Source organism: Homo sapiens, chromosome 9 (assembly GCF_000001405.40).
Source record: "Homo sapiens chromosome 9, GRCh38.p14 Primary Assembly".
Classification (NCBI taxonomy): Eukaryota; Metazoa; Chordata; class Mammalia; order Primates; family Hominidae; genus Homo; species Homo sapiens.
In genome coordinates, this window is record NC_000009.12 from 91,295,461 (window position 1) to 91,322,817 (window position 27,357).

At 39.2% G+C, this 27,357-nt stretch overlaps 1 protein-coding gene across 20 annotated transcripts in view, besides 2 other annotated features; it reads right to left on the bottom strand.

The window, feature by feature from the left end:
* Window positions 1–27,357, bottom strand: part of AUH (AU RNA binding methylglutaconyl-CoA hydratase) — a 148,096-nt gene that overhangs the window by 81,638 nt on the left and 39,101 nt on the right. For all 20 annotated transcript variants that reach the window (XR_007061324.1, XR_007061323.1, XM_047423525.1 and 17 more), the window contains 2 exons: window positions 2,524–2,616; window positions 561–617 (listed from right to left, as the gene is read on the bottom strand). Coding sequence is in view for 18 of the 20 variants with exons in the window: in XM_047423525.1 (XP_047279481.1) it covers window positions 561–617; window positions 2,524–2,616 (150 nt within the window). In the remaining 2 variants the exon portion in view is untranslated. The remainder of the gene's footprint in view (window positions 1–560; window positions 618–2,523; window positions 2,617–27,357) is intronic.
* Window positions 19,199–19,700: an enhancer, noted in NCBI's record as "OCT4-H3K4me1 hESC enhancer chr9:94076941-94077442 (GRCh37/hg19 assembly coordinates)". NCBI's record gives its function as "activates a minimal SCP1, AML or CMV promoter by ChIP-STARR-seq in primed H9 embryonic stem cells {active_cell/tissue: H9 hESC(primed)}" and the evidence as "EXISTENCE:reporter gene assay evidence [ECO:0000049][PMID:30033119]".
* Window positions 19,701–20,200: an enhancer, noted in NCBI's record as "OCT4-H3K4me1 hESC enhancer chr9:94077443-94077942 (GRCh37/hg19 assembly coordinates)". NCBI's record gives its function as "activates a minimal SCP1, AML or CMV promoter by ChIP-STARR-seq in primed H9 embryonic stem cells {active_cell/tissue: H9 hESC(primed)}" and the evidence as "EXISTENCE:reporter gene assay evidence [ECO:0000049][PMID:30033119]".

Below are 27,357 nucleotides of genomic sequence, written 5' to 3' on the forward strand. Positions count from 1 at the left end.
ATGCTATCAAACAGCAGCGCATGCTACAGAGAAATCTCTTGTGAAAGGAAGAGTCAACTGATGTGGCAAACTGCACTGCTGTCCTTGGAAATTGGCACAGCACCTCCACACTCCAGCAACCGCCACTCTAATCAGTCAGCAGCCTCAACATCAAGGCAAAACCCTCTACCAGCAAAAAGATTATGATTCTTTGAAGGCTCAGGTGACCATTAGAAAATTTAGCAATAAAGTATTTTTAAATTAAGATATGTACATTGTGTTTTTAGACATAATGGTACTGCATGCTTAACAGACTGCAGATAGTGTAAACATAACTTTTATATGCACTGGGAAACCAAAAAATTTGTGTGGCTTGCTCTATCGCAGTATTTGTTTCATTGCGGTGGGGAAAATCTGTTAGGTATGCCTGTAACTTGAATGGGGACTTTGCTAGGGATGCAAACAATATGCCATTGTCTCTTTACGCAAAATGTTGCCTTTCCAATTAACATGATTTTGCCTTATGCCCTGTTTCTAGGACCAAATCAAGGATTTGAGGAATGGGCGTGAACTACTCATACCTCCACCAGGAATAATCGCCAATTTTGTTTCAACCAGGCCCATTTTTGCAGAGGAAGCTAAAACGAAAGAAAGAAAATTAAGTATCATCCATATCATCACATTCAAATATGACAACTTGAAAAAGTTATGAGATATACTAAAATATTGTTTACTAATTAAATTGATATCACAAATTCTTAAAAAAAATCACTTAAAAGGCATTGTTATGGAAATAAGTAAGCACTCTAAATGACATGTATTAGGAGAGTCCCACAACATTTTCTGTTAAAAACTGCTTGGCAGTGAATTAATTTTTGATTCACAAGACCAGGACTGTAACTCCATTATTAGACCCAATATTGCCAAGACATATTTGGAGGCATAGATCTATTAATTATTCAGGATCAGCAGACTTGTCAGTATCTGACAAGCCCAAATTCTTCAGTTGCCTGAATATAGTCCCCCAGACCAAAGAGCTTAATAGGTCATATCAGATATGGCAACTTTTCAAGACCAAGTCTTTAGTTACCTTCTGACAAATAGTTTTACTATTCTGACAGGTGGACAGGGTTCCTCTTTTCATGTCTGTTTTCATGGCTACTTTAAAACATCTTAATAACTTCTTTATTTGCATATCCAAATATACTTAGACTACTTCCCATATTCTAATTTCCAAAACCTGTATTCTTTCAGAAATGGATTACATGTACCTTAGCTTTTCAATTTAAAATCCAATGATTTCATTACAAGAAAATAGGTTCCTAAAATGAAGTGAAAAGGAGGAAAAAGGACACATGGACTAGCAACCAGAAATCCCAAGAAACTGAATCATGTTGACGCTACATTGTTCTAAAAATTTAAAAAATCTTTTATAAAGATGAGGTCTCCTTATGCTGCCCAGGCTAGTCTTGAACTCCTGGCCTCAATCAATCCTTCTGCCTTGGCAGCTCTGCTTTTAACATGCAGCCACATCAGAAACGATAATGGAAAGCAAGAGAAGAACAGTGACAACTCTGTGCCGTCTGCTGTGCCCAGTTCTCAGTCTCAGAGCCCGAGGACACAGGCAGAGCTGAGTCTCTATGGATATAGTGTCCACAACGATGAATATGGGAGATCAGTCTACGTTGCTCTCATGAGGTAACAGGTGTGTGGGCTGTGGCCAAACAGTCTGGGTTCAAATCTCAGTTCAGTCACTTCTTTGGGGCTTCTCTCCCTTCTCCAGTTTCCTCCAGTGCCCCAAAGTACCTGCTCTGAGGGTTGTTATGCAGATGGAGTGAGTGAATACATGTCAAGTGCTAGAATAACACTGGGTGCCTGGACTGCACACAGTAAGCAGTGGGCACTAATTCTTTTCACTCTTTTTCTATTCACCTCATAAGATCCTCAGAAAACCATTCAGGAAGAAAGTGGACTTCAAGGAGATTCAGTTATCATTACTGTAGCAAATGGTGATTTAGTACTTAGATTAACATCCACAGATTAATTGCTTAATCTTCACAACAGCAACAGTCATTTCCCCCATTTCCTCTAAAGAGGAAGATATTGGCCTAAAAAAGGGAGGACCTCAGATTCTTTTCCTTTTTTTCTTTCCTTTTTAATTTTTTTTTTTTTAAACAGGGTCTCCCTCTGTCACCTGAGCTGGAGTGTAATGGCACGATCATGGCTCACTGCAGCCTCAAACTCCCAGGCTCAAGTGATCCTCCCACCTCAGCCTCCCAAAGTGCTGGGATTAGAGGTGCAAGCCACGCGCCTGGTCCAGGACCTAAGATTCAAACTCAGTTCTACCTGACCCAAATCCTGGCAAGAAACAACACAAGACTTTTTTCAGGTGGGAATTTCGAAAACACCATTAGGACCAACAAGTGACTTTTTGAAAATATTCTACTCAACAACAGGAAGCAGAATAAAATATTTAAAATTACCTGAAGAGTAAACACAACCTTCACTTTTTTAAATTATGTTTTTAACAGGATTAATTCTTACCTGCTACTCGTATATCACAGGCTAAAGCCAGTTCAAGACCACCACCTAAAGCGAGTCCATCTATTGCTGCAATTGTTGGTACTGGAAGATTAGCTGAAATGGAAAGAAAATTTTATGCTTCCTTAATAAGATTATTATCTCACTGTGTAATTCATTTTTAATTTTTTTCTGTGAATTTATGCTTTAAATGGGAGATCATATACAGACTTTTGTATCCCTTTTACCTTTAACAAAATATAAGCATTTCCATCATTATTCTTCAAAACATTATATAATTACTGTATAGTGTTCCATCACATGTATGTGCAATATCTTTAAATCTTCCCATATTATTGAATTACTTTCATAAACATTTTTTGTTGAATTAACAGAATCACAGTTCTACGATTTCTTAATCTTAGAGCCAGAAGTCTTTCACAAGATGTTTGGTTCATACAAAGTTCAAATTGAAATGACTTATACATAATTGTGAAATTTATGATCCTTTATGGGCTACTTCAGTGCTTGGAATGACAGAGTCTCATTCAAAGAAAGACATCTGCTCAAACAAGAAAGAAACTGTCCAAGTAGTTGCTGTGGCATTGGCCCGTGAGCTGTCATTTAGTGAGGAGCCCTAACATTATGAATGGGAGCTGGAAAACAATCAGGCTCTTCCACTTCAGAGGCAAGATGCCCTGAGAACCTGCTCACAAGCATGCCTGGAAAGGGGTCAGCCAGTCACAGAACTAAAAGCTCAACTTGCTTGAATCCAGAAATTGAGTATTATTTTAATACAACTTTTGTAAATTATGACATACAGATTTCATTTTCATAACCAGTTCAAAAAGTGACTGGTTTTATTAGTTATTCTGAAAAGCAGAACTCTATTAATTTTATTTCTGACTATGGGAATGTGAAGCAAGGCTGGCCAATGTTAATATATAACAGAAAGTGGATTTTAAAAAGGTAATATCGGCCGGGCGCTGTGGCTCACGCCTGTAATCCCAGCACTTTGGGAGGCCGAGGTGGGAGGATCACCTGAGGTCAGGAGTTCAAGACCAGCCTGGCCAACATGGTGAAACCTCATCTCTACAAAAATACAAAAATTAGCCAGGCATGATGGCGGGTGCCTGTAATCCAAGCTACTCAAAGAGGCTGAGGCAGGAGAATCGCGTAAACCCAGGAGGCAGAGATTGCAGTGAGCCAAGATCGTGCCATTGCACTCCAGCCTGGGTGACAGAGTGAGACTGTCTCAAAAAACAAACAAACAAACAAAAACAATAAAAAGGTACTATCCCCCAAAATCTCTCTCTTCCATTCTGATATGTAAAATCCCCCAGAGGCTCACTCCTTGACTCCTTTTAAAATATACAAATTTGCTGAAGTACACTGAGTTTTATTCATAAATAAAGGAATTCATCACTTATTGAAGATCAAGTCTGAAAAGGCCAGGAAGGAGCACATATACACAGCTGCCGCCTGAAGCACTCCCAGAAGAGCAGGCGTGGAAGGGGCTTTTGCACAGGCAGTATTTCACTATCTGTACCTGTCTGAACATTTAGGGGTTGGGGGTGGGGAGGGACTTGAAAGGACAGGACAAATTCAAAATGTGCTTTCCAGAACACTTAGTGAAAAAAATAACAGCTATGTCAGGGTTTGCAGTCTGGAAATGAGTTTAATGTGCAAACAATATCTAGTGAATTTTATCTGGAAAAAAGAAAAGAAAAATCAATAAAAATATAAAACAGCAAGTTAAACTGAGTCCTTCCCAAGGTCATCCTGAGCTACTACAAGTAGAATGTAATGACTTTGGTTACCGACTCTCAACTCCTCTTCCTTCCTAAAAACCTGTCTAGAGATCATTTATTTCTAGACCTCCTCAACCTACTATCTCTCCAACCTCAAGTCTCACCCGTCAGAAGCCTTCCTTAGGCCTTGCTAAGGCCCTCCAGCTCACCTCCTTTACAGACCAGCTTCTAAGAGGAGTAGAGTAAACCCATGCCACCATACCCATTCACCTCCAAACAAGCAAGACCATTCTTGTTCCAGTTACCAATGACATTATAAGATTGTCCTATAGCCAGTGGACAATATTCAGTACCTATTAAATGTACTGCCTCAAAAGATCAGAGACATCCATCCTGGACACTCCCTCCTTGTATTCCTCCCTTCACTGCCTGCTGGGTCCCTCATTTTTCCTGCCTTTCCATCTACCTCTGGTAATTTCTCAGCCTTCTTCCCCTCTCAATAAAAGCTCTTCCCAGGAGATCTCATTCTCATCCACAACTTTTACCACCTATACTACCACCAATGATTTCCAGATCTCTACCTCAAACCCAAACAGCCCCCTGCCTGTTGGACATACCCACTTAAATACTTCATGTGTCCAAACCATTTCTTCTCAATCCTTCTTCTAGGCTGTATTTCAGTTAGTAGCACCTCCATTCATCAAGTTACTCAAGACACTCAGAAGTCATCCCAGATGTCCTCCTTGCCAATGCCCTTTTCTACCACCCAAGTTCTGGGTCCCATCATTTCTCACCAGCAGGAAGTACCTAATTAATCTCCTTCACCTGCAATCTGCCACCCTTCTATGCATCTTCTACCTTTCCTGTAGGGTAATCTTTCTAAAATGTAAACACAGTCATGCTATTCCCCTATTTAAAACTGTTCAATGATTTATTCTACCTTCAGGATAGAAATGGTGTAAACATTTAGCATGGCACAGGAAGGCACCTGGAACTAAGTTCTGCACACCTGCCTAATCTCTTCCAAAACCTCAGATATTCTGTTCCAGCCCCAAACTACTTAAAACAGCTCCAAAAGTCTCCATTCAAGACTCAATATCTGTATACAAGGTGCAGCTCTGCCTAGAATGCCTAGCTAGCCCCTACTTGTCTGTCGAGGCTCAAATGTCCCTTCCTCTATGCTTACATGGCACTCTGTGCATAACCTTTTCTATCAGAACATTCATTACCATACAGCCCATATGAAACAAAAATTAACATCACATCAATGCTACTCAATAACGTTCTTACTAATCTGGGACAAACCTCACGGTTTTTCACTGCCTCTTCCTCCTTTATTATATTAATCCTGGTATTTTGCCTACTTTTCTTTTTTTTATTAACTTCTTTTGTTTAATAAAGAAATAAACATATGCAGTCCTATGGAGCTAAAGAAAAGAAAAATTGCCAAGAGTTCTAAGATGGAGAGAGCAGAAGCAGAGAAAGAGTGGGTGCTCCCTCCCTGCTACGTAAGTGCTGAAGTCACTCAGCAAGTAGCTGCTGGAGGCCGTGATATTATGAAATACATATTTGGTCTTCATCCCTGTTTCCAGACACACAGCTCTTAAAACCCTTGGAATCTCTGGAGTGATAAATGCATCTTTCTTATTTCTCCAATAAGTTTATACTTTTTGGAATTAATAAAAACTATTTTTAAGTCTAATAGGAATTTGAGCCAGGTACAGTGACTCATGCCTGTAATCCCAGCATTCTGGGAGGCCAAGGACGAACGATTGCCTGTGCCCAGGAATTCAAGACCAGCCTGGGAAACATGGTGAGACCTCGTCTTGATTTTTTAAGAAAGAATTTGAGAAATTATGTTTCTAAAGAGGATGAAAATTGTGTGCCCTTGAGAAGCTTAACAATTCCAGGGCTTGTTTCCTTTTGTGCAGGCCCACACCAGGGTCACTGCAAAAAGAGCCAGCCTAGGTGCCAAGAGACATACCAGAGGTGAGGACCAGGGCCTGCAGATGGAAGACAGGAGCTCCAAGAGCAAGTCTCAGGCACCATATGCCTTACAATTTGTAAGAAATACGTAACACAAAATGATGAGAAATTTGGGTTCCACATACAAAAAGAACAAGAAAAATGGGATACTAATTCTCATATTATTAAATAGGTTAAGCACTGGAACTTTAAATTATTAATTAACATAAATTAGCCTTGTAGAAAGCTGTCTATAAAATGTTTCTAACTAAAGAATTAAGTAAAACAGCTTAATTCGTATTCAATGGGTAATTAAATATTAGTCATTTTACAATATTATAAATTCTAAGGCTATACATCATCCTAATTATTCCCTAAAAGATGTCTGTCGTAGTAAATTTTATCCAGGAAAGTATGCATCATCTCAAAGCACATGCCAGTCTGATATATGTGGTTTCTTTACATCTAGTATTTCTTCTACTTGGGAGCACTTAATAATCAAAGAGGGGGCCGGGTGCAGTGTGGCTCATGCCTGTAATCCCAGCACTTTGGGAGTCCAAGGCAGGTGGATCATTTAAGGTCAGGAGTTGGCGACCAGCCTGGCCAACATGGTGAAACCCCATCTCTACTAAAAATACAAAAATTGGCTCACGCCTGTAATCCCAGCACTTTGGGAGGCTGAGGCAGACAGATCACCTGAGGCCAGGAGTTTGAGACCAGCCTGACCAACATAGAGAAACCCCATCTCTACTAAAAATACAAAATTAGCTGGGCGTGGTGGTACATGACTGTAATCCCAGCTACTCAAGAGGCTGAGGCAGGAGAATCGCTTGAACCCAGGAAGTGGAAGTTGCAGTGAGCTGAGATCGCGCCATTGCACTCCAGCCTGGGCAACAAGAGTGAAACTCCATCTCAAAAAAACAAACGAACAAACAAACAAAAAAATTAGCCAGACATGGTGGTGCGTGCCTGTAATCCCAGCTACTGGGAAGGTGAGGCAGGGGAATTGCTTGAACCCTGGAGGCAGAGGTTGCAGTGAGCTGAGATCGTGCCACTGCATTCCAGCCTGGGCAACAAAGTGAGACTCTGTCTCAAAAAAAAGGAAAAAAAATGTTAATAATCATAGCAGGAACTCAATAAAATACACCTTTAGAAAGGTAGATTATGAATTTCAAAGATCTAAAGGAATAGCAAAATGACAGTTGTATATAAGCACAAATAAATGAAACAGGAACTGCGAATCCAACGAGCAATGGCTATTCCCAACAGCAAGAGGAAGAAATTATGACTCAGTATGTTATGCAACCAATAGGATCAGATACTATTTTCAGTTTCGTACCAGGAAATGAGCCAGGTATGACAAAGAAGATAATAATCCTTTGAAATGCTCCTAAAAATATAATTAAAGCAAACAATTAAACAGTTTGCTATTTTAAGAGGGAAAAAAGCAACTGTAAGGCAGGCCCCTGGTTCACTTCAGTAGTCTGTAGGACCTGCAGCCTACGATAATTAGACTCAAGGGACTATGAAAGTGGGGAAAATTAAAGTATCTACTTTCGATTCTCAGATAAATACAACACATAATGTAGGTTATTTGATGCTTCTAGAAAAATATGAACAATTTGATTATTAAAGGAAAATGTTAGTGTCAGACGCATGATTTTTTTTTTTGAAACGGAGTCTCTTGCTCTGTCGCCCAGGCTAGAGTGCAGTGGCGCAATCTCGGCTCACTGCAAGCTCCTCCTCCCGGGTTCACACCATTCTCCTGCCTCAGTCTCCCGAGTAGCTGGGACTACTGGTGCCCGCCACTACGCCCAGCTAATTTTTTGTGTTTTTAGTAGAGACAGGGTTTCACCGTGTTAGCCAGGATGGTCTCAATCTGACCTCGTGATCCACCCGCCTCGGCCTCCCAAAGTGCTGGGATTACAGGCGTAAGCCACTGCGCCCAGCCCCACAGGATTTTTAAATTTGGTTTTGCTTGAAGAATAGTGTTCCTACAGAAAGCAGTGAAATCAAGCATTTCAAGGGAAAGGCCCTATGTAGCATTATGCTGGAAGTCTGAATACTAAAATCTTTCAAGAAGAATAGAAATAAAATCTAAGTTAACTGAAAATTACAATAAATACCTAATTATCTTTCATTTTGGCTAAAACTTTACCTTCATCCTAATGTATATTCTCCCATTCCCATCACTGAGGTTTAAAAAAAATCACAATAACAAAACAAGCCCTGAGTGAGGCCTGCAGGCTGGCTGGGCTGTTGCTCCCTGGAGGCCCACACCAGGGTCATTGCTGCAAACATAATACCACAGGTGAGAGATGGGAGTTCAAAGTGAGAAGTCTCAGGCACCACAGACCTTAAAAGGAACACATATCCAAAAGCCAAAAGTAACAGTATTTAAATATGACACTTCGATTCTAGCACTAGGTTAAAATCTAAATGAAATGGAAAAATTCTACAAGTTGTTGTGAAGAAAAACTAACAGATGAAGAGCAGCAACATTCCTTACAGAAAGGGTCATTATACCAAGAACAAATTGCTGGAAGCTAGCATTCCCTCTCACATGCTTTTTTATACAAGCCTGTCATAGTAATTTCAGGCTGTATGGATTCACACAGAAAAGAGGACTAAATTTACTTTTTTACTAGGAAAAAAAGAGAAAAACTGCCTAGAAACAGCATAAAATAAGTAATCAATCCTCGATTTAGCTAAAACCAAAGGCATGTGGGCAACATGGAATAGGGTCCAACTCCTCCCTAATACTGCGAGTGATGCAGAGTAAGACCATGAGTGGCAACAGCATGAGGACAGCCTCACTGCAGTGCTGCAGATTTTATACTCAATGATGAAGGCAGAAAGTACCTTCCTTAACTCTTAACAGCACCTTGTACCTAAAGCTTATAGGAAATATATAACACAAAATGACAAGAAATTTGGGTTCCACATACAAAAAGAACAAGAAAAATGGGATACTAATATTCTCAAATCATTAAATAGGTTAAGCACTGGTACTTTAAATTATTAATTAACAAATTAGCATTGTAGAAAGCCGTCTACAAAATGTTTCTAACTAAAGAATTAAGTAAAACAGCTTAATGAAGTAAAAAAGCCAAAAAAACAAAGTACACTGGTTTCTTGAGCTTTCATAAGCAAGTACTGGTGGAGAGATATAATTTAAAACTTGTGCACCAAGTAACAGAGGTGTGAGTAAATCTAAAATTATAGTAGTCTCCACTTACGTGCAGTTTCACTTTTTGAGGTTTCAGTTACCCATGGTCAACTGCAGTTTGAAAATATTACATGGAAAAATTTGGAAAATTTCAGCAATACATTATTCATTTGGAAAAACTCAGCAATATATTATTTTAATACCATACTAGGATATTATTTCCTTTAGCATCTTTAAAACAACATGATAGAATGTTTATAAAACAATCTGATCTGATATAAATCAGATGACTTCCTTAGTCAATTAGAAGAGAACACCTATAATTTCTTTAAAAAGCAATTCATATATACCTATGTCCAGGAAAAGTTAAAAAAAAATTCAGTTATTAGAAAGGACGTATTCTTTAATATAACTAAGGGTCAACAATATAACTACACATGAGCTTATTCTCTACTTTATTACTAACACGACCCAAGCCAGAACATCACAGACATAGTCTAGTCTGAGTTCAGGGATGTTAAATTGGTATACTATGCTTATGCTGACACTTCACGTCTCAACAAATTAGTAAACTGGTGAAGTCCTAAATTCAGTCACTGCTTCCATCAAATATATGCCACATACCATGTTGAATGATTTAAGTGAAGCTACAGAATGCAACTGTGGGGAGTTCAAATGTCAAATCCTGGCTCAATGCCACCACTGTTACCACTGTGAGCCCTGAGAAAAGTTGCTTAATTTTTCTAAGCCTATCATTTCCCCACCTGCCTTCCTACCTTTCTATATATACGCTTATGTATCTAGCAAATACTTAAAAAGTTTTTACTATGTGTGGCCACTGTCCTAAGAACCTTACAAAGATTACTTAAACTTCTATCAGCCTTATGCTGTAAGAACTCATGACTTTCAATTTATAGATGACACACTGAGGCACAAAGGAGTTGCTGTTACTTGCCTGGTACAGTCTGAGCACAGGCTGTCTGGTTTCAGGGTTTTGCTCTTAACCATTACTGCCTATCACTAGTTCTCACACCCCAGATCCCCAACACCGTAAGCCATCCTTCCATCCTTCCCCTAAGGACTTGTGACCACGTACCCGAGAAAAGGGAAATGCTGAAACTCAATAGGAAGCCCGACAGCACACTGGCTCTGTGCGCCACTAATTCCTTGAGACCTACGGCAACACCACAGTTCACTGGGTTCAACTGGGGAAACCTTGGGAACTGGATGCAAAGCACCAGTCAGCTGACTGTAATCGAGTTCTGACTTGAGTTTTCTCTGGAAACCCCCAAAACCCACAGTGTGGCAGTGCCCCCCAGTACACGACTCTATAGGCTATTAAAATAAAAAGGGCCAACCCCAGAATATTTCCTTCCTACCAAAATTCCAAATCAAAAAACCCTCCCTAAGGGAAATGCACAGATGACAGGCTGGCAGGGAAGTCCATGCCCATTCAGCAATCTTATCTGGAAGGTTACACTTACTAGTAGAACTGAGTGATGACTTCTGTTGATTGCTGTTCCACATTTAACAAAACTCTTGGCATTTAAAATGCTGCTTAACATGGTAAATGCAGTCACTTCTATTTCTGATAAAAAGATAACATACCATAAGTAGTTTACTTTCACTTGGCAGGAAAAAACCTCACCATTATTGCCTTGCTTCATAAACTCTCAGGCTCTGTAACCTTGTTATTTAGAGTATGGTTTGTAGAACAGCAGGATTAGCATCACCTGTAAGCTTTTTATAAATGTAGACTCCCAGGTCCTATCGCAGACCCATCTGAAGCAGGATCTACATTTTTCACAATGCACATTTTTAACCCAGGTGATTTATACACACAATACAGTTTGAGGAGCTCTGGATACTTAAGCTAATCCACAGGGAACTTGACAGTCTCACCATCCATAGGATAATATGCTGATCCACTACATTGAAAATGCTACTGAGGAAGCAACGGCCATAACTTGATCCATAAACGTAAGGGTAGTGAAGGCTTTACACACAAATGTCTGTAGCAGCTTTATGTGTAACAGCCCAAAACTGAACACAACCCAAATGTCTTTCACGTAGTACATCTGGGCAATGGAATACTACTCATCAATAAAAAAGAACTATTGATCAAAAAAAAGCGAATACATACAAAAATTAATACATACTGTTGCATTTTCATGAAATTCAAAAATATGGAAATTATAGTGATACAAGTTCAGTAATTGCCTGAGGATAAGTTGAGGGTAGCAGGGAGGGGCAAAAGAAAGAGACAGCAAACGGCCATGAGGAAATTTCTGGAGGTGATGGACATATTCATTATCTTGATTGTGGTGCTGTTTTCACAAGTCAAAAGTTACCAAATTGTACACTTTAATATGGGCAATTTATTTTATGTCATTACACCTCAATAAAGCTATTTTAAAGAATTATATGATCTAATTGATCTGAAAATCATAAAGTCAACAAAAGAAAGTACACTGGTTTCTTGAGCTTTCATGAACAAGGGCTGATGCAGAGATATAATTTAAAATTTGTACACCAAGTAACAGAGGTGTAAGTAAATCTAAAATTATAGTAGTCTCCCCTTACGTGCGGTTTCACTTTTTGAGGTTTCAGTTACCCATGGTCAACCGCAGTTAAAAAATATTACACGGAAAAGTCCAAAAATAAACAACATATAAGTTTTAAATGACACACCATTCTGAGTAGCATGACAAAATCTCGCACCATCCTGCTCCATCCCTTCTTCAACACAATAAGGGTGAGTATAATGCAGTAAAATATTTTGAGAACAGACTATATTCATATGACTTTTATTACAGAATATTGTTGCAAATTGTTCCGTTTTATTCCTAGTTATTGTTGCTAATATCTTACTATGCCTAATTTACAAATTAAACTTCATCATAGGTGTGTATGTACAGGAAAAAACAGTATATACAGGGTTTGGTATCATCTGTGGTTTCAGACATCCACTAGGGGTCTTGGAGTGCATCCCCTAATAATAAGGGGTCAACTATTGCATAAAGAAAACACTAAGAAAAAAGGGTGGGAGAAGAGAAAGGTGGGAAGGAATAATTTAAAACAGGAAATACACAAATTCTGTCATTGTTCAATAGAACTTTCTAAAGAAACAGTGGATCAAATACACTACGTAAGTGTAATAATGATGATAAGGTAGTACCAAAATACAACGCTTAACATTATTAGAATAAACCCACACACAGAACAAACCAGAGAAGCACCTAACATAGTTAAGATTATTTTTAAAATGTAAAATTGCCAAAATCAGAAGACAAAGAAAAGCATAACGACAGGCCTAATACCAAACACATCAATATATTTAAAGAAGCTGTATCCATCCACTAAGAAAAAGATTAGCCAGGCATGGTGGACTGAGTAGTCCTAGCTACTCAGGAGACTGGGGCAGGAGGATCATTTGAGCCCAGGAGTTCAAGGCTACAGTGAGCTATGACTGTGCCACTGCACTTCAGCCTGGGCAAGAGAGCGAGACACTGTCTCTAAAAACAAGAAAACTACATACTGAACTATGATTCAAAAGGAGAGGGATGTTAATAACTCATAAAAGAACTGACTCCCAGATGTTTGTTTTCATTCTCCACCATTCTTGATGAGAGGATAAAGAAAACTAAAACTAAGATCTGTAAGTCACCATGCAGAAAACAAAGACAGTAAAGTGTTCTACCAATTAATCTTTCACACACCATAATTCGGCACTTCAAATTTCTAATAATTACATCAAATTAGGAAAATAAAAAGTAAAATATATGCTGGATTCAATCTAATAAGCTACATTACATATTTTTAGAAATCTCTTTGACCCTCAAGCAAACAAAAAAGACACAGTGAACATAAATAAACAATTCAGGTCAACTTGGTGGATTGACAAAAAAATTCTGCAAACTTTGAAAATGTTCCTTATTAAGCAATTCTTTTTTTTTTTTTTTTGAGACGCAGTTTCGCTATTGTTACCCAGGCTGAAGTGCAATGCCACAATCTTGGCTCACTGCAACCTCCGCCTCCCAGGTTCAAGCGATTCTCCTGCCTCAGCCTTCCAAATAGCTGGCATTACAGGTGCCTACCATCATGCCCGGCTAATTTTTTGTACTTTTAGCAGCGATGGGGTTTCACCCTGTTGGCCAGGCTGGTCTCGAACTCCTGACCTCAGGTGATCCACCAGCCTCGACCTCCCAAAGTGCTGGGATTACAGGCGTGAGCCACGGCGCCTGGTCTTAACTTTTATCTTAAATGTATTATGTTAAGAATTGCTGGCCAGGCGTGGTGGCTCATGCCTGTAATCCCAGCACTTTGGGAGGCAGAGGTGGGTGGATCACCTGAGGTCAGGAGCACCAACCCATGAGGGATCCACTCCCATGACTCCAACACCTCCCACCAGGCCCCACCTCCAACACTGGGGATTACAATTCAACATGAGATTTGGGTGGTGCCAAATACACAAACTGTCTCAAAGACCCAGTAGTCAGTTCTTACTGTTCATCTTACTTGGCCTGTCAACAGCATTTAATCACACTCTCCTTCTTGAAACATTTTCTTCACTTGGCTTTTGGAATACTGTTTTCTTCCTAATGTGGTATATATACACCATGGAATACTATGCAGCCATAATAAAAGAATGAAACCACGTCTTTTGCTGCCCCATGGAGCTGGAGGTCATTATCCTTAGTGAAATAACTCGGAAATAGAAAATCAAATACTGCCATGTTCTCACTTATAAGTGGAAGCAAAACAATGGGTATACATGAACATAAAGATGGAAATAACAGACACTGGGGACTCCACAGGGGAGGACAGTGGTGAAGAGGGTGAGAGGTGAAAAATTACTGATTGCATACAACATTCACTATTTGGGTGATGGGTTCACTAGGAGCCCAAACTCACCATTACACAATACATGCATGTAACAAACCTGCACATGTATCCCCGGATCTAACATAAAATAAGCACAAACAATTAAGAATATTGTTTTCTTCCCACCTTCCTACCCTGGGTGGCCTTTCTCAATCTACCGCTTTCATTCCAGCCTCTAAATATCATAATGCCTCACAGTCCTCAGACTTTTTTTTATCTCTACAGTAACCCCCTAGGTGTCTCATCCAGTGGTCATGGCTTCACATAGCATTAACATTCTGATGACTCCCAAGTTCACCTGGGTCAACCTGCCTCAACTCCGAATTCATCTGCACTTGGATGTCCACTAAGCATCACTACCTTCACATATCAAACTTGGGACTCCTGAGCGAGACCTTCCATCCCAATCTAGCAAAGGATCAGTCCTAATTTACCACAATAGACATTCCAACAACTGCTCCACTCATGTTCATTCTATCATTCTCAGTCATGTCCTAAGAGCAGCAGGAGCTTGGGTAGAAAAGACAGAGGATCAAACTCAGGCAAGTTGAGCAGCATTCTTGGAATTTTAGGTAGAGGCAGACAGGAAAGGGATTGCAAGAGAAGGTTCAGCCTGAAGATAAGATGAAATAATTACAGTATGGCTAACATGTTTACACCAATAAGATATAAGCCAATTTGCCCTCTCAATCAGGTACCTACCATGTGCTCATTACTAGACACTAGGTATAAGTGAAGAAAAAGCCAACTCATGGTTCTTGCAATGGGGAGATATGGAAAGTACCAGATGGTAGAGAGAATCCACATTTTCTGATTCCACATCAAGAGATCAAGATCAATAAACTTACACCAAAATAATTCAAGAGTTCATCACATTTTAACAATGTATAAAATCTAAACTGTCTATAACAAAATAAACCATCCTATGGCATTATCTTTGAGAAAATGTTAAACTGAGCAGATCTTGTGACCTCCTAAGAGTATCATTACATGCTGAAATATAATGGAACTTCAAGCTTAGGATAAAGATGACAGAAAGATAGATCATGTGGTTACCAAAACATTAAAGAACACTCATTTATACAAAGATAGTTAGGCTAGGACAGAAGAGTTTGATTCCAATATCAAACCTCTGCAGAAGAGAGGCCAAGATGAAAGTTTGATATGTATGTGCATCTATTATACTGTAGTGGGTCTGTTAATTATTAGTGACTTGTTTTGCATTACTTTGAGCCTTTCAATAATAAAATTCAAATGTATCCCAATTCTCAAACTGAAAGACATGCTAACAAAAATAAAATGAGAAGCACTGCTTGAAAAGAGGTTTATACCATAAAACTTACATCAGATTTTTCACACAGAATTTTTTCATTCAGTTATACAAAGATATTCTTTGTATTTCAAAGAGAGAGCTTTTTTCATAGAAAAATGAATATGGACAGTAGATTTTCAATCACATGAAGAACAGATCCAGAGACTGAAAATTTCCAAAATTAAATTATTTCTTTCTATAAAACCTTATAAATGTTAAGAAAAAAATTGTTAAATACATGAATTTTGTCAGCTGTCCCTTTTAACATAATTACCTGTATTTCAATTCAGCTTTGCATTTACACTGCTAAATTAAAGCTTTTGCAATTTTATTTCATCAGAGAAAGAAAAAGAAGTTATGAATGCTGGCATTTTAAAGGATTACTGTGGAAGATCATTTACAAAAACATGATTGCCTCACACTAAATTCTGTAATCTAAAATTCTAATGAAAACCTATTTTAAATATTTCTTTATCATTAGGTAACAATTCTTTGATGTCTCAACTTGAGAGAACTAGGTCTATCCCTTTAGAGTTTCCACTTAGAGAATTCTAAAAATGTTTTCTATCTCATCTTGAAATATCATCTAATTTAAATGTTACTAAGGGCAAGAATGGCCCTCAGTGAGGTAATTAACATGTCCACTCCCCATATTCTATACTGCTAATGTGCACAATATGGGTCCCAATAGTGATGTCAACACTGCCACCACGAACTACTGGAAGGAAGGTGCACACCAGGAAGCCCTAGAAGGAATGGTAAGAAACAACAGCTGTTAATAGATCCTGATAATTTCATTGCTGTGTAGCCTTGCTGATGCCTAATATTTCAAAATAATCAGTTTACTGCTTCTAATCCAGGCAACCTAAACTTCAAGAGGGAAGGGGACTTGTAACAATGATTAACATTTTAGAAATCTAAAAATTCACCATTTCCTTTGAATGAAACATCTCAAAAATAGTCACATGACTTTTTTTTTTTTTTAAAGAACAAAAGAACTCAATTTTATTCTAGGATTTTACTGTTTAAGAACAGACTTTCTAAGATACTAGGAACAATAAAGTAAATTTAGTGACTCTGAATGAAATACAGAACTGCTTTCTGATCTCTATTTTAATAAAACAGAAGAGCTTTCAAATAAGTCATGTCTGTAAGTTGCTTATAAACTCTCTTTCATTAAAAACACACAGAGTACAGGAAATCACGGTTGCCAAAGAGAAAATACATTTGCCTTTCAGATCCCATCAATTCTCCAGTTGTAGAAAATGTGAATATAACAGGAGGCAAGAGGGGAAAATGGTACCCAACAGACAAGGGTGAACCCTGATTTGTATCAGTACTAATACTGCCACAATTTAAAGATGCCTATGGTTCAACAGCCAGCTCACAAAATTTCTGAACATTAGGCTGGGAGTCATGGCTCATGCCTGTAATCCCAGCACTTTAGGAGGCCAAGGTGGGGGTATCACTTGAGGCCAGGAGTTCAAGACCAGCCTGGCCAACATGGCGAAACCCTGTCTCTACCAAAAAATACAAAATAGCCGGCGTGGTGGCTCACGCTTGTAGTTCTAACTACTCAAGAGGCTGTGGTGGAAGAATTACTTGAACGCAAGAGGTGGAGGCTGCAGTGAGCCGAGATCGTGCCACTGCACTCCAGCCTGAGCAACAGAGTGGGACCCTATCTTTTTTTTAAAACAAACAAAAAAAAATTCCTGAAAATTTAACAATCACCTGGAGTCAGTGTGAGCAGGCCCCAGTACACCACTGCCAAGGCATTTAATTACTGGAGGGTCTGTATAGGAAGCAGGCCCGTAAGTACTGTCAAAGACAAAAATCTAACAAATTGAGTTATAGATCCAATTGCCTTTTATTTGTGATTCATGAGGCAGGGCAGCCTCCATTCTACAAAATAGAATAAAAGTTCCCATGAGGCAATGGCAGAACAGTGGGTTTTAAAGTAAGGTAGAAACAAGAAAACAGGACAAGAGGAAAAAAAACTAATTGGTTAACAGGTTACATCAGGCTTTGCGGGGGGGGTTGTTTTTTTGGCAAGGGTTAAAGCAGAGTAGACTTACTGAGCTGATTCAGGTAGACTGGAATCTCCTGCTTTCAGGAAAAACCGGTCTGTTTTGGAATCCGTCTGCTTCCTTAATAAAGTTTCAATTTGATTATGTGGCATTTTGCAGGAGTGACTATATCAATTTAATCTGGTCTGCTGGGGATTTGAGCAGGAGCTCAGTCCAAAACAATGGCCTCCCATAATTTTAACAGTACAATGCAGGATCCTCCACCATCAGTATCCATGAACATCCACTGGCCAAGTCACTTCCTCCCAAGACAAAAATAAGCCTAGAAGCTCTTCTCTCAGAAAATGAACAAACTTGGCCGGGCGCGGTGGCTCACGCCTGTAATCCCAGCACTTTGGGAGGCCGAGGCGGGTGGATCATGAGGTCAGGAGATCGAGACCATCCTGGCTAACAAGGTGAAACCCCGTCTCTACTAAAAATACAAAAAATTAGCCGGGCGCGGTGGCGGGCGCCTGTAGTCCCAGCTACTTGGGAGGCTGAGGCAGGAGAATGGCGTGAACCCGGGAGGCGGAGCTTGCAGTGAGCCGAGATTGCGCCACTGCAGTCCGCAGTCCGGCCTGGGCGACAAAGCGAGACTCCGTCTCAAAAAAAAAAAAAAAAAAAAGAAAATGAACAAACTTTATGAGAAGAACTAGTGAAAAGAGAGCCAGAAAGAAAGATGGAGGCCTCTGTGCAGTATCTGGTCCATAAACGCTCTTTTTTTTTTTTTTTTGAGACCGAGTTTCACTCTTGTCGCCCAGGCTGGAGTGCAAATGGCACGATCTCGGCTCATTGCAACCTCCGCCTCCTAAGTTCAAGTGATGCTCGTGCCTCAGCCTCCTGAGTAGCTGGGATTACAGGCACGTGCCACCACGCCTGGCTAATTTCTGTACTTCGAGTAGAGATGGGGGTTCACCATGTTGGCAAGGCTGGTCTCAAACTTCTGACCTCAGGTGATCTGCCCGCCTCAGGCTCCCAAAGTGTTAGGACTGCAGGCATGAGCCACTGTGCCTGCCCATAAACGCATTTTGTTAGACATGCAAAAGGATTTTTCTCTCCCATCAAAGAGAAAAAGTTTCAAGAAAAGTTTTAATGTCAAAAACCTTAAAAGTAGGGGGCCAGGAACAGTGGCTCATGCCTGTAATCCCAGCACTTCAGGAGGCCAAGGCGGGAGGATCACTTGAGTCAAGGAGTTCGAAACCAGTCTGGGAAACATGACGAAACAACACAAAACTTAGCCGGGCATGGTAGAGCCCATCCCTGCTACTCGGGAGGCTGAGGTGGGAGGATCACTTGAGCCCCGGAGGTCGAGGCTACAGACAGCTGAGATCGCACCACTGCACTCCAGCCTGGGCGACACAGGGAGACCCTCTCTCAAAGAAGGAAAAAAAAAAAAAAAACACCTTAAAACCAAAAGCCCAAGAGCTATTTTTCTAGACATGTAAAATCTTGGCTTCCCTTGAAAATAATGAGAAATAAAAAAAAAAATTCTAAGCCCCTCAACCAACTGAACTGACCTTCTTTTGGCCAAGGGGACCACAGAGAAACCTCAGAGGCTGAATTCGTAGCTATGATGTGATGGGAGGTCAGACCATCTCCCTCAATAGCCGCCATTAGGCTTTCTTCTAACGGGCTAAAGAGAAACCAGCCCTTGAAAGATGCCACTGCTGATTTCAACCAACAGCCTGAATGCTGCCCCGCCCTTCTGCCGTTCTGTCAAAACAACCAACCAGCATTTCTTCCTGATAAAGAGACTACCAACCACAGGGTGGTTCTGGCCCATCTACAGAGGAGGCGCAATGAGAGTTTTTCGTGTCATCTGCTTCTTCTTTTTTGAGACGGAGTCTCACTCTGTCACCCAGACTGGAGTGCAGTGGCATGATCTCGGCTCACTGCAACTTCCGCCTCCCAGGTTCAAACGATTCTCGTGCCTCAGCCTCCCTAATAGCTGGCACTACAGGCTAGGATTACAGGCGTGCGCCACCACGTCCAGCTAATTTTTGTATTTTTTTAGTAGAGACAGGGTTTCACCACGTTGGCCAGGCTGGTCTCGAACTCCTGACCTCAGGTGATCTGCCCGCCTTGGCCTCGAAAAGTGGTGGGATTACAGGCATGAGCCACCGCGCCCAGCCCTCTGTTTCATCTTTTGACAGCAGAGGTCCCAAGACTCCACCCTCAGATCCTGCTCTGGCTGCCATTTGTTACACATGGGTCCCACGGAAAGGCCTGAAGCTCAAATGCGCATGTGCCTGTTTCTCCTTTCATAAATATTCATGACTCCTCCTGCAGCTTATTGACTATGTATACCTGGCCACCCTGCTCAGCATACATTCCTGTTCCCTTTACCCCACCTTCCAAGTGGCAGTTTCTGGATTCTGGCCAGAGGCTGTGCTTCCCAGAGTGTGGGAATAGCCACCTTGCAGGCTGTAACCCTTTATGAGACATAAAGCTCTCCTTTCTAAAGTTATGAACCTTGTCATTCTTCAGTTGACAGTAAGAAAGAAAAAAAAATACAGTAAATAAGAAATGTCCACAAGTTTCAAGATAGATGAATCTTCTAAAAATTGGTCTTATTTGGCACATATAAAGAATATATTCATATACATGTAATAAAGCATAATCATAATAAACTCCAACACAATCACCACTCAAAGCTAGATCTAGGTCAGAACTAACACCTGTCTGCCACCGAGCTCTTCAACTATCCTTCCACCTGAATTCCAAACCAAAGATAACCATCCTTGTAAAGTCTGTGTGTGTGTGTATATGTTGATTTTATTACACACTTACACATCCCTAAACACAAACTGTTTAGCTTTGAATGCTATTAGTTTTATAAAAAATAAGTCATACTTTCAAATCAACATTGTGTTTCAAAGATTTATCCATATTGGTACATGTGTGTATTATTCATTTATGTACACTGCTCTCTACTATCCAATTGTATAAATATACCAAAATATTTTTCCATTCTCCTGTCATAGAAATTTGGTTGTTTTTCAGCTTTTTGCTATTAACAATGTTAAGTGTCCCTAGGACACATGTGCAAAATGTCTGCAGAACAATGTGGTTTCAAATCCAAGTAGCAACCCATTCATGAGCTAGTCAAGATGAGGAATTTTTTTTAATGACACAGGGTAGTATCAAACTAGAGTGTACAGACAGAAGAACCATAACCTTTGATACTCTCCCACCCCTATGTGTTTACTGGGCCAGAGTGTAGATATATTTCTTACTACAGGTCCAATAAAAACAGTCTTTAAGTTATCCCTCTATGTAAATACCCCTTAAAAAGTGAACTACCGAGTCTTATGGAATGTGGATATTCAAATTTGAAAGACAATATCAAATACTTTTCCTAAGCAGTTACACCAGTTCAGCTCCCATTAGAAGTATAAATCTTCCTGCCTGGTAATCCACTTAACTCACTAACTCTTAGTAAGACCTGGCTTAAGAATTTTTGGCTAATCTGGTGGATGTAAAATGGCATCCCACTGTGGTCTTAATTGCAGGTCTATGACTACTACTGTGGCTGACCATCTTTTCCTATGTCTACCCTCACTCCTCTACCTCTGTGTGAAATGTTTTTCTGTCATGTCCTCTTGCTGACTTCAAGGCTGTACATATGTATGCATGTATTGATTCCTGTATGTACTTATCAATGCATACAAGAATCTTTGGCCACTATGTGTTTCAAATATTGTCTCCCAGTCTGTGTCTTTTCTTTCTACTTTATTTATAGTATGTTTTCATGAATTGATGTTCTTAAGTTTAATTTGGTAAAATTGATCACTGTTTTCTTTTATGTGTCATATTTTATGTTTTAAGAAACTCTTCTCTCTGTTAAGATCATTGAAGTTTTAGTTTCCACTTCTAAACATATTAAGTCTTTGCCATTCCCCAGCGATCTGCAATGCCACCTCTGTCACATATCAACTTCCCCACTTGGGTGGTCTTTTGGGGGTTCTATATTTCAACCCAATGGTATACTTATCTATCCGAAAGCGAATAATACACCGTCTTCATTTCTATGTCATTATAATAAATCTTGAGTGCTGAAATGGCAAGACGCTTCATTTTCTTCTTTATGAGTGTTTGGCTATTTGGGGGTCTCTTTTTGCTCATCAAGTCCCTCACAAAATCAATACTGAGAGTCTAGGTGTAATTACACTGAATTACACCATTTGTGAGAATCATCTTTTTAATACTCAATCTTCCTATTCAAGAGGATAATTTGTCTCCATTTATTTTTTTAAACATGTTACAATAAAGTTTTATAATTTCTCCAAATATGCTACATGTAGTCCTAGACTCATTTTTGTTCCTACTTTCCAGGGTATCCTTACTTGACATCTTTTGTCTGTTGTTGGTATAAAGAAAGGCAATTGATTATTCTGAATATGGATCTCATTTCCAGCCATCTTGCAACACTCTTATTTCTAATAATTTATTGTTTCTTTTAGCTTTTTGATGGAGACAGCCATACCACATGAGAAGGACTCTGTTATTTCTTTTTCGGTCCTTATTTATTGTTGTTTCCTGCCTACTACAGAAACCAGGATTTACAGAATAATATAGAACAGAGGTGGTGACAGTGGGTCCTCTTGCCTTGTTCCTGATTTTAGGAGATGACTTCTAATATTTTATTGTTAAGAAAGAGATACCTTTCGTCAGGCTAAGGAAGTTTCCTTCTATTCCTAGTTTGCTGAGAACATTTTCCATGAATACATGTTGATATTTCTCAAATGCTTTTTCCTCAATCTACTGAGATACACATATGACTTTATTTTCATTGGCTAACATCATGAGTTAAAATTTAATATTTTCCAGTGGAAACCACCATTGCCTTCCTGGGAAAGCCCAATTTGGTCTTTTGTTACAATCTGCTGGATTTCATGTATGCTCACAAGTGAGGCTGTCTCCTCCTATTCCTTTCTTCCATTGTTTCTCTCGGATTTAGGTATAAAGATTACACTAGTCTGAAATAATGAGTTAGGAGTAAACTCTCACTTTACTATCCTGTGGAACTGTCTGTATAAGATTGTAAGAATCTGTTCCTTATGCATTGGGTAAAACATCTTAAAAGTAAATCTCTATCATCAAAAAACTGGGTCTGGTGCTTTCTCTGTGAAAAAGTTTACTATAAGAATTGGTTGATCACTTCAGTGATTATATGACTGTAACCAAGCAGCTTAGCTTCAAACTGCTTTTAGAAATTTTTTTTCCTTTCCTCTTTTCATCCCAGTCTCAAGACACAGCTTTGAGACAAACTACAGATGTGTTTTCTTTTGTCTCTAAATACAGCCTTGGAATGTGCTTTAAAACTCCACTCCCCTCCCTTTCCCACCTTATGCTTTCATGCCTGATGCACATGTATTTACCTGGATGTTTGTTAAGCTCACACCATGCTCACTTATCTGGTCCTATGTTTCCTTAGAAGCTTCAGGGGCCAAATCCTGATGCAAACCAGGCACCTCCAGAATTCTCTCCCGAGCAGGATATTACTTCAAGGCCAGAGTTACTCCCGGCTAGAGACTGACAGCAAGACTGACTGCGACTGATTTGGCATGGTTGGGCCCAAGATGGTGCTGGCCCCTTCACCAGATGGAACAATAATTCAGGATAAGCCATAGGAGCAAGTCATGCCATTGGGCACCTCCCAGCCCCCTTGCCTCTCCTGCATTCCAAATCCCTCTTCTTAAACCCCTGCACTCTCCAGAAATTGGAAAGTGGCAGTTTTGGGAAAGGATTCTGTCCACTTTCCCCCTTGCTGGCAACAATTAATAAAATTCACACTCTTTATCATACCTCACTCTTGTTATTTTGGCTTCTTTCTACAAGCGGCGAGAAGTTGGACCCTCTTTTGGTTACATGACTATTCCAGCCCATGATTTCTTCTTGAGACAGAAGTTTCATATTTATTGGCATAAAGTTTTTTCCCAGTATTTTCTTATTATCTTTATAATCTCTCCTGTATCTATAATCACACCTTTTTTTCATTTGTAATACGTATTGTTAAAACACTTTTTACTCCACTGTAAAGAGCACGGCCTTGTGTTGACCCTAGGCACTGCATCTCTGTCTTCCATTTTACTCATTTCTGTTCCTTGTATTGTTGCTTTAGTTCAACATTCTTTGAACTTAAAACTTTTAAAAATCTTTTTAAGGTAATGCTTAGCTATTTATCATCAATGACATCTCCTTGCTAACTTATGGATTTAATGTTGTAAATTCCCCTCAAGTACTGTTACAGTAGGTAGCTAATCAGACACGAGCAGAGTTGGAAAGGGCTCCCCACAAAATACACACACCAGGAATGTCAGGTGACCATGTAATTGTCAGGCGGCTGTTAACTGTCTCTCTAAAATAATAATTGGTCACAGCCAACACCAGAGAAAGGCAGTCTCCTCGAAATATCAGGTATTTCCAGATAGAAATACCTGAAACTGGTGATCAGCAGCTTCCTGATAAGATCTCAGGAGCTGGGCAAGTGCAGTTGAGCATGAGCACTGAGGCAAAATGGCGGATGACGTCCCTCTAGGAACACGGGGCTGCAAAGTGGGAAGGTGCCTCAAGTAGGCAGGCCTGCAACTTAGTAAACACACTGCACGTGCAGCCCCTCCCAAGGGCTGGCAGGCCACTGCGCATGCAGACAGCCCACCCCAAGGGAAGAATCACAGGAGAAGCAACAGAAGACCCCAGAAGAATGCCAACATATAAAACCCCAATTCAAAAGGTCAAACGGTGCGCCTGATCTCTCAAGTCGTCTACTTGATCCTTGTGCAAGTTCCTCTCCTTCCTGCTCTAGAGCTCTTTAACAAACTTTCACTCCTGCTCTAAAACTTGCCCCAGTGTCTCCTCCAGCCTTATGCCCCTGGGTCGAATTCTTTCTTCTGAGGAGGCAAGAACTGAGATTGCTACAGACCTGTACAGATTCACTGATGCTAACATACTTGTGCTGCATGACATGGATACATCACAGCTAACAGTACCACTTTAATCAAATCTCATATATTTGGACATATGGTAATTGTATAATCATTCAGTTTTAGTATTCTTTTCCATTATAGTTTCTTCTTTGACCCATGAGCTGTTCAGTATTCTCAGTTTACAAATATACGGTTTTAGAATCTGTACGTATGCATATCTTGTTTCTAACTGTTAAAGCAAACTAAATACGGCCTTAGAAAGACTCTGTACTTCTATACTTGTGGATGAACTGCAACCTAACTTAATAGGTAGAAAAGACAGAAAACCTAACTTAGGAGTATGCCCTGTGACAGTACCTGAGGCTTGGCCAATCCCAGCAGCCATACTTCAACCACTCATACACTGCCCAGTGTTCAAACTGTGTTAAAATAAGACAAACGCTGAGCTGTAACCAATCCAGCTGTTTCTGCACCTCGCTTCTGATTTCTGTATGTCACTTCCTTCTTTTTTGTCTATAAATTTGTTCTGACCACAAGGCATCCCTGGAGTCTCTCTGAATGTACTGTGATTCTGGGGACTGCCCGATTCATAAATCGTTCACTGGTCTATTAAACTCCTTTAAACTTAATTTGGCTGAAGTTTTTCTTTTAACATAACTTAATTCCACCGTGGACAGAAAATATGGTCTCTATACACCAATTTTCTGAAATTTAACAGAGACCTTAGGGTCCTGCACGTGACCCATATCTTTAAACATTTCTTGTGTTCATGAGAATACATAAGTTGGGGTTGAGTCTATTAAACCAAACTTGATAATTATGTTGTTCAAATCACTAAAAAATTTTTATTAACTTTTGTCTTTTTGACCTCATGGTAAATTGAGGGAGATGGGTTGATAATTTTGTCAGTGATGACAAATTACCAATTTATCCATATCATTTTATGTGTGTATCTTGAGACTTTTGTTTTTAAGTGCATACAAGTTTAAGGGTATGTTTCTTGAAAAATTGAATCTTTTATCACATGCAGCAACTCTCTCTCTAGTAATGCTTTTTATTTTGAAATGTATTTTGACCAATATCAATACTGATATATCTTTTTTTGGCTAGTAATCTTCAGGTACAAAAAGAGGTATCCCAGATGTGGCTATTTTTAACAATATTCAGCTGATGTCAATTATTTAGTCAAATCTGAACATCTATGTCTTTAAACCGCAAGTTTAATCAACTAACATTAATAGTGAGTACTTGACTTATTTCAACATCTTACTATTCAAGATGTTCTAAGTTTATGCTATTTTTTCTCTTTACATTTTTTTAAGATTGGATGAACTTATCTTTGGTTTTTGTTTTGTTTTTTCTTGAACTGTTTTGTTTTGTTTTCTTTGAATTTTATCAAGAATACAAAACCCCCAGATGCAATATTTTAAACTCCCTATCAAAGCGAAGACCTTAAAATTAAAAGCTTTATGACTCCAAAAAGCAAAACCCAATGACAAAGGTATAAGCCAAGCATGCATCAAGTTGTTCAAATTAGAACTGAAGTGAGATTTCTTGAATAAATATAGAGGAATTAACTCCAAACAACAGGAAAAATGAAGATAGGAGACAAATGACATTCAAAGAAAAATCAGACCCACTGCCTGTTTTAGTACAAACCTGTGAGCTAAGAATGGTTTTTACATTTTTAAATGCCTGGGGAAAAAAATCAAAATAAAAAATTGTTTCAAAATGCATAAAAATCAAATGAAATTCAAATTTGGGTATGCATAAATAAAGCTGTATTGGAACAGAGCCACACACATTTGTTGATACATCATCTATGGTTGCTTTCATACTATAAAGTCAGAGTTGTATAGCTGCAACAGAGACCATATGGCACCATAAAACCTACAATATTTACTATATGACCCTTCAAGATAAAGCCTGCCTGCCTGTGATTTTTAACATATTAAATGAGTGGATTCTATTAAGATACTATTAAGATACTTAGTTTCCATATGTCCTTCAAAATGTCTGGAATCATCACAGTAAGTCTACTGTAATGTTATAATAAAAAGTATCATTAATAAATATGGAGGAACTCCCAAGAAAAAATGGAGATAAGAACTAGCCCAGAAAAGAAAAGCTATAGCTACAATCACAAAAAAGAAAATGACATTGCAAAGACAGAAAGAGTTCCAGAAAAATCCCAATTTCAGAATCCACAGAACAGAAAGACACTCTGGAACAAACATCAAGGTAATTTGAACAATGAAACCAATCTTAGCCACCCCCTTGCATATATATAAACTTACAGGTAGCATCAACTTTTACTTCTAAAATCAAGCTCTCTGACCAACTTCTAAACAAAGTTCATGCTCTGTGTCAGAAGGTACATAAACATGAGGCTGAAGCTGGGGAGAGAAGCAGGGCCTAAAACAATACCAGCACAGAATGAGAAGAGGCAGAATAGACAGCTAAGCCAAAGACATTATAGAAATCAAAACACGTATTTTTTAAATTTTAATTCTAAGAAAGTGAGAAAACAGTAACAAAACCACAGAAGATGCAAAAAGGTGTCAAATGGTCAAATTCTACAATTCTTTCAAGTAAAATGATTTGTTCTGTATATAGCATAGAAAAACATGGAAAGCTTTTCACCTCATTCTATGAAGACAAATAACCTTCACACCAAACCAAAAAAGAATAACACAAAACAAAATTAAAAGCTCAATCTCCTTTATGATTCTACCAAAAGCATTTTATTGAATCCAGCAATATATTTTAAAAACCAACACCA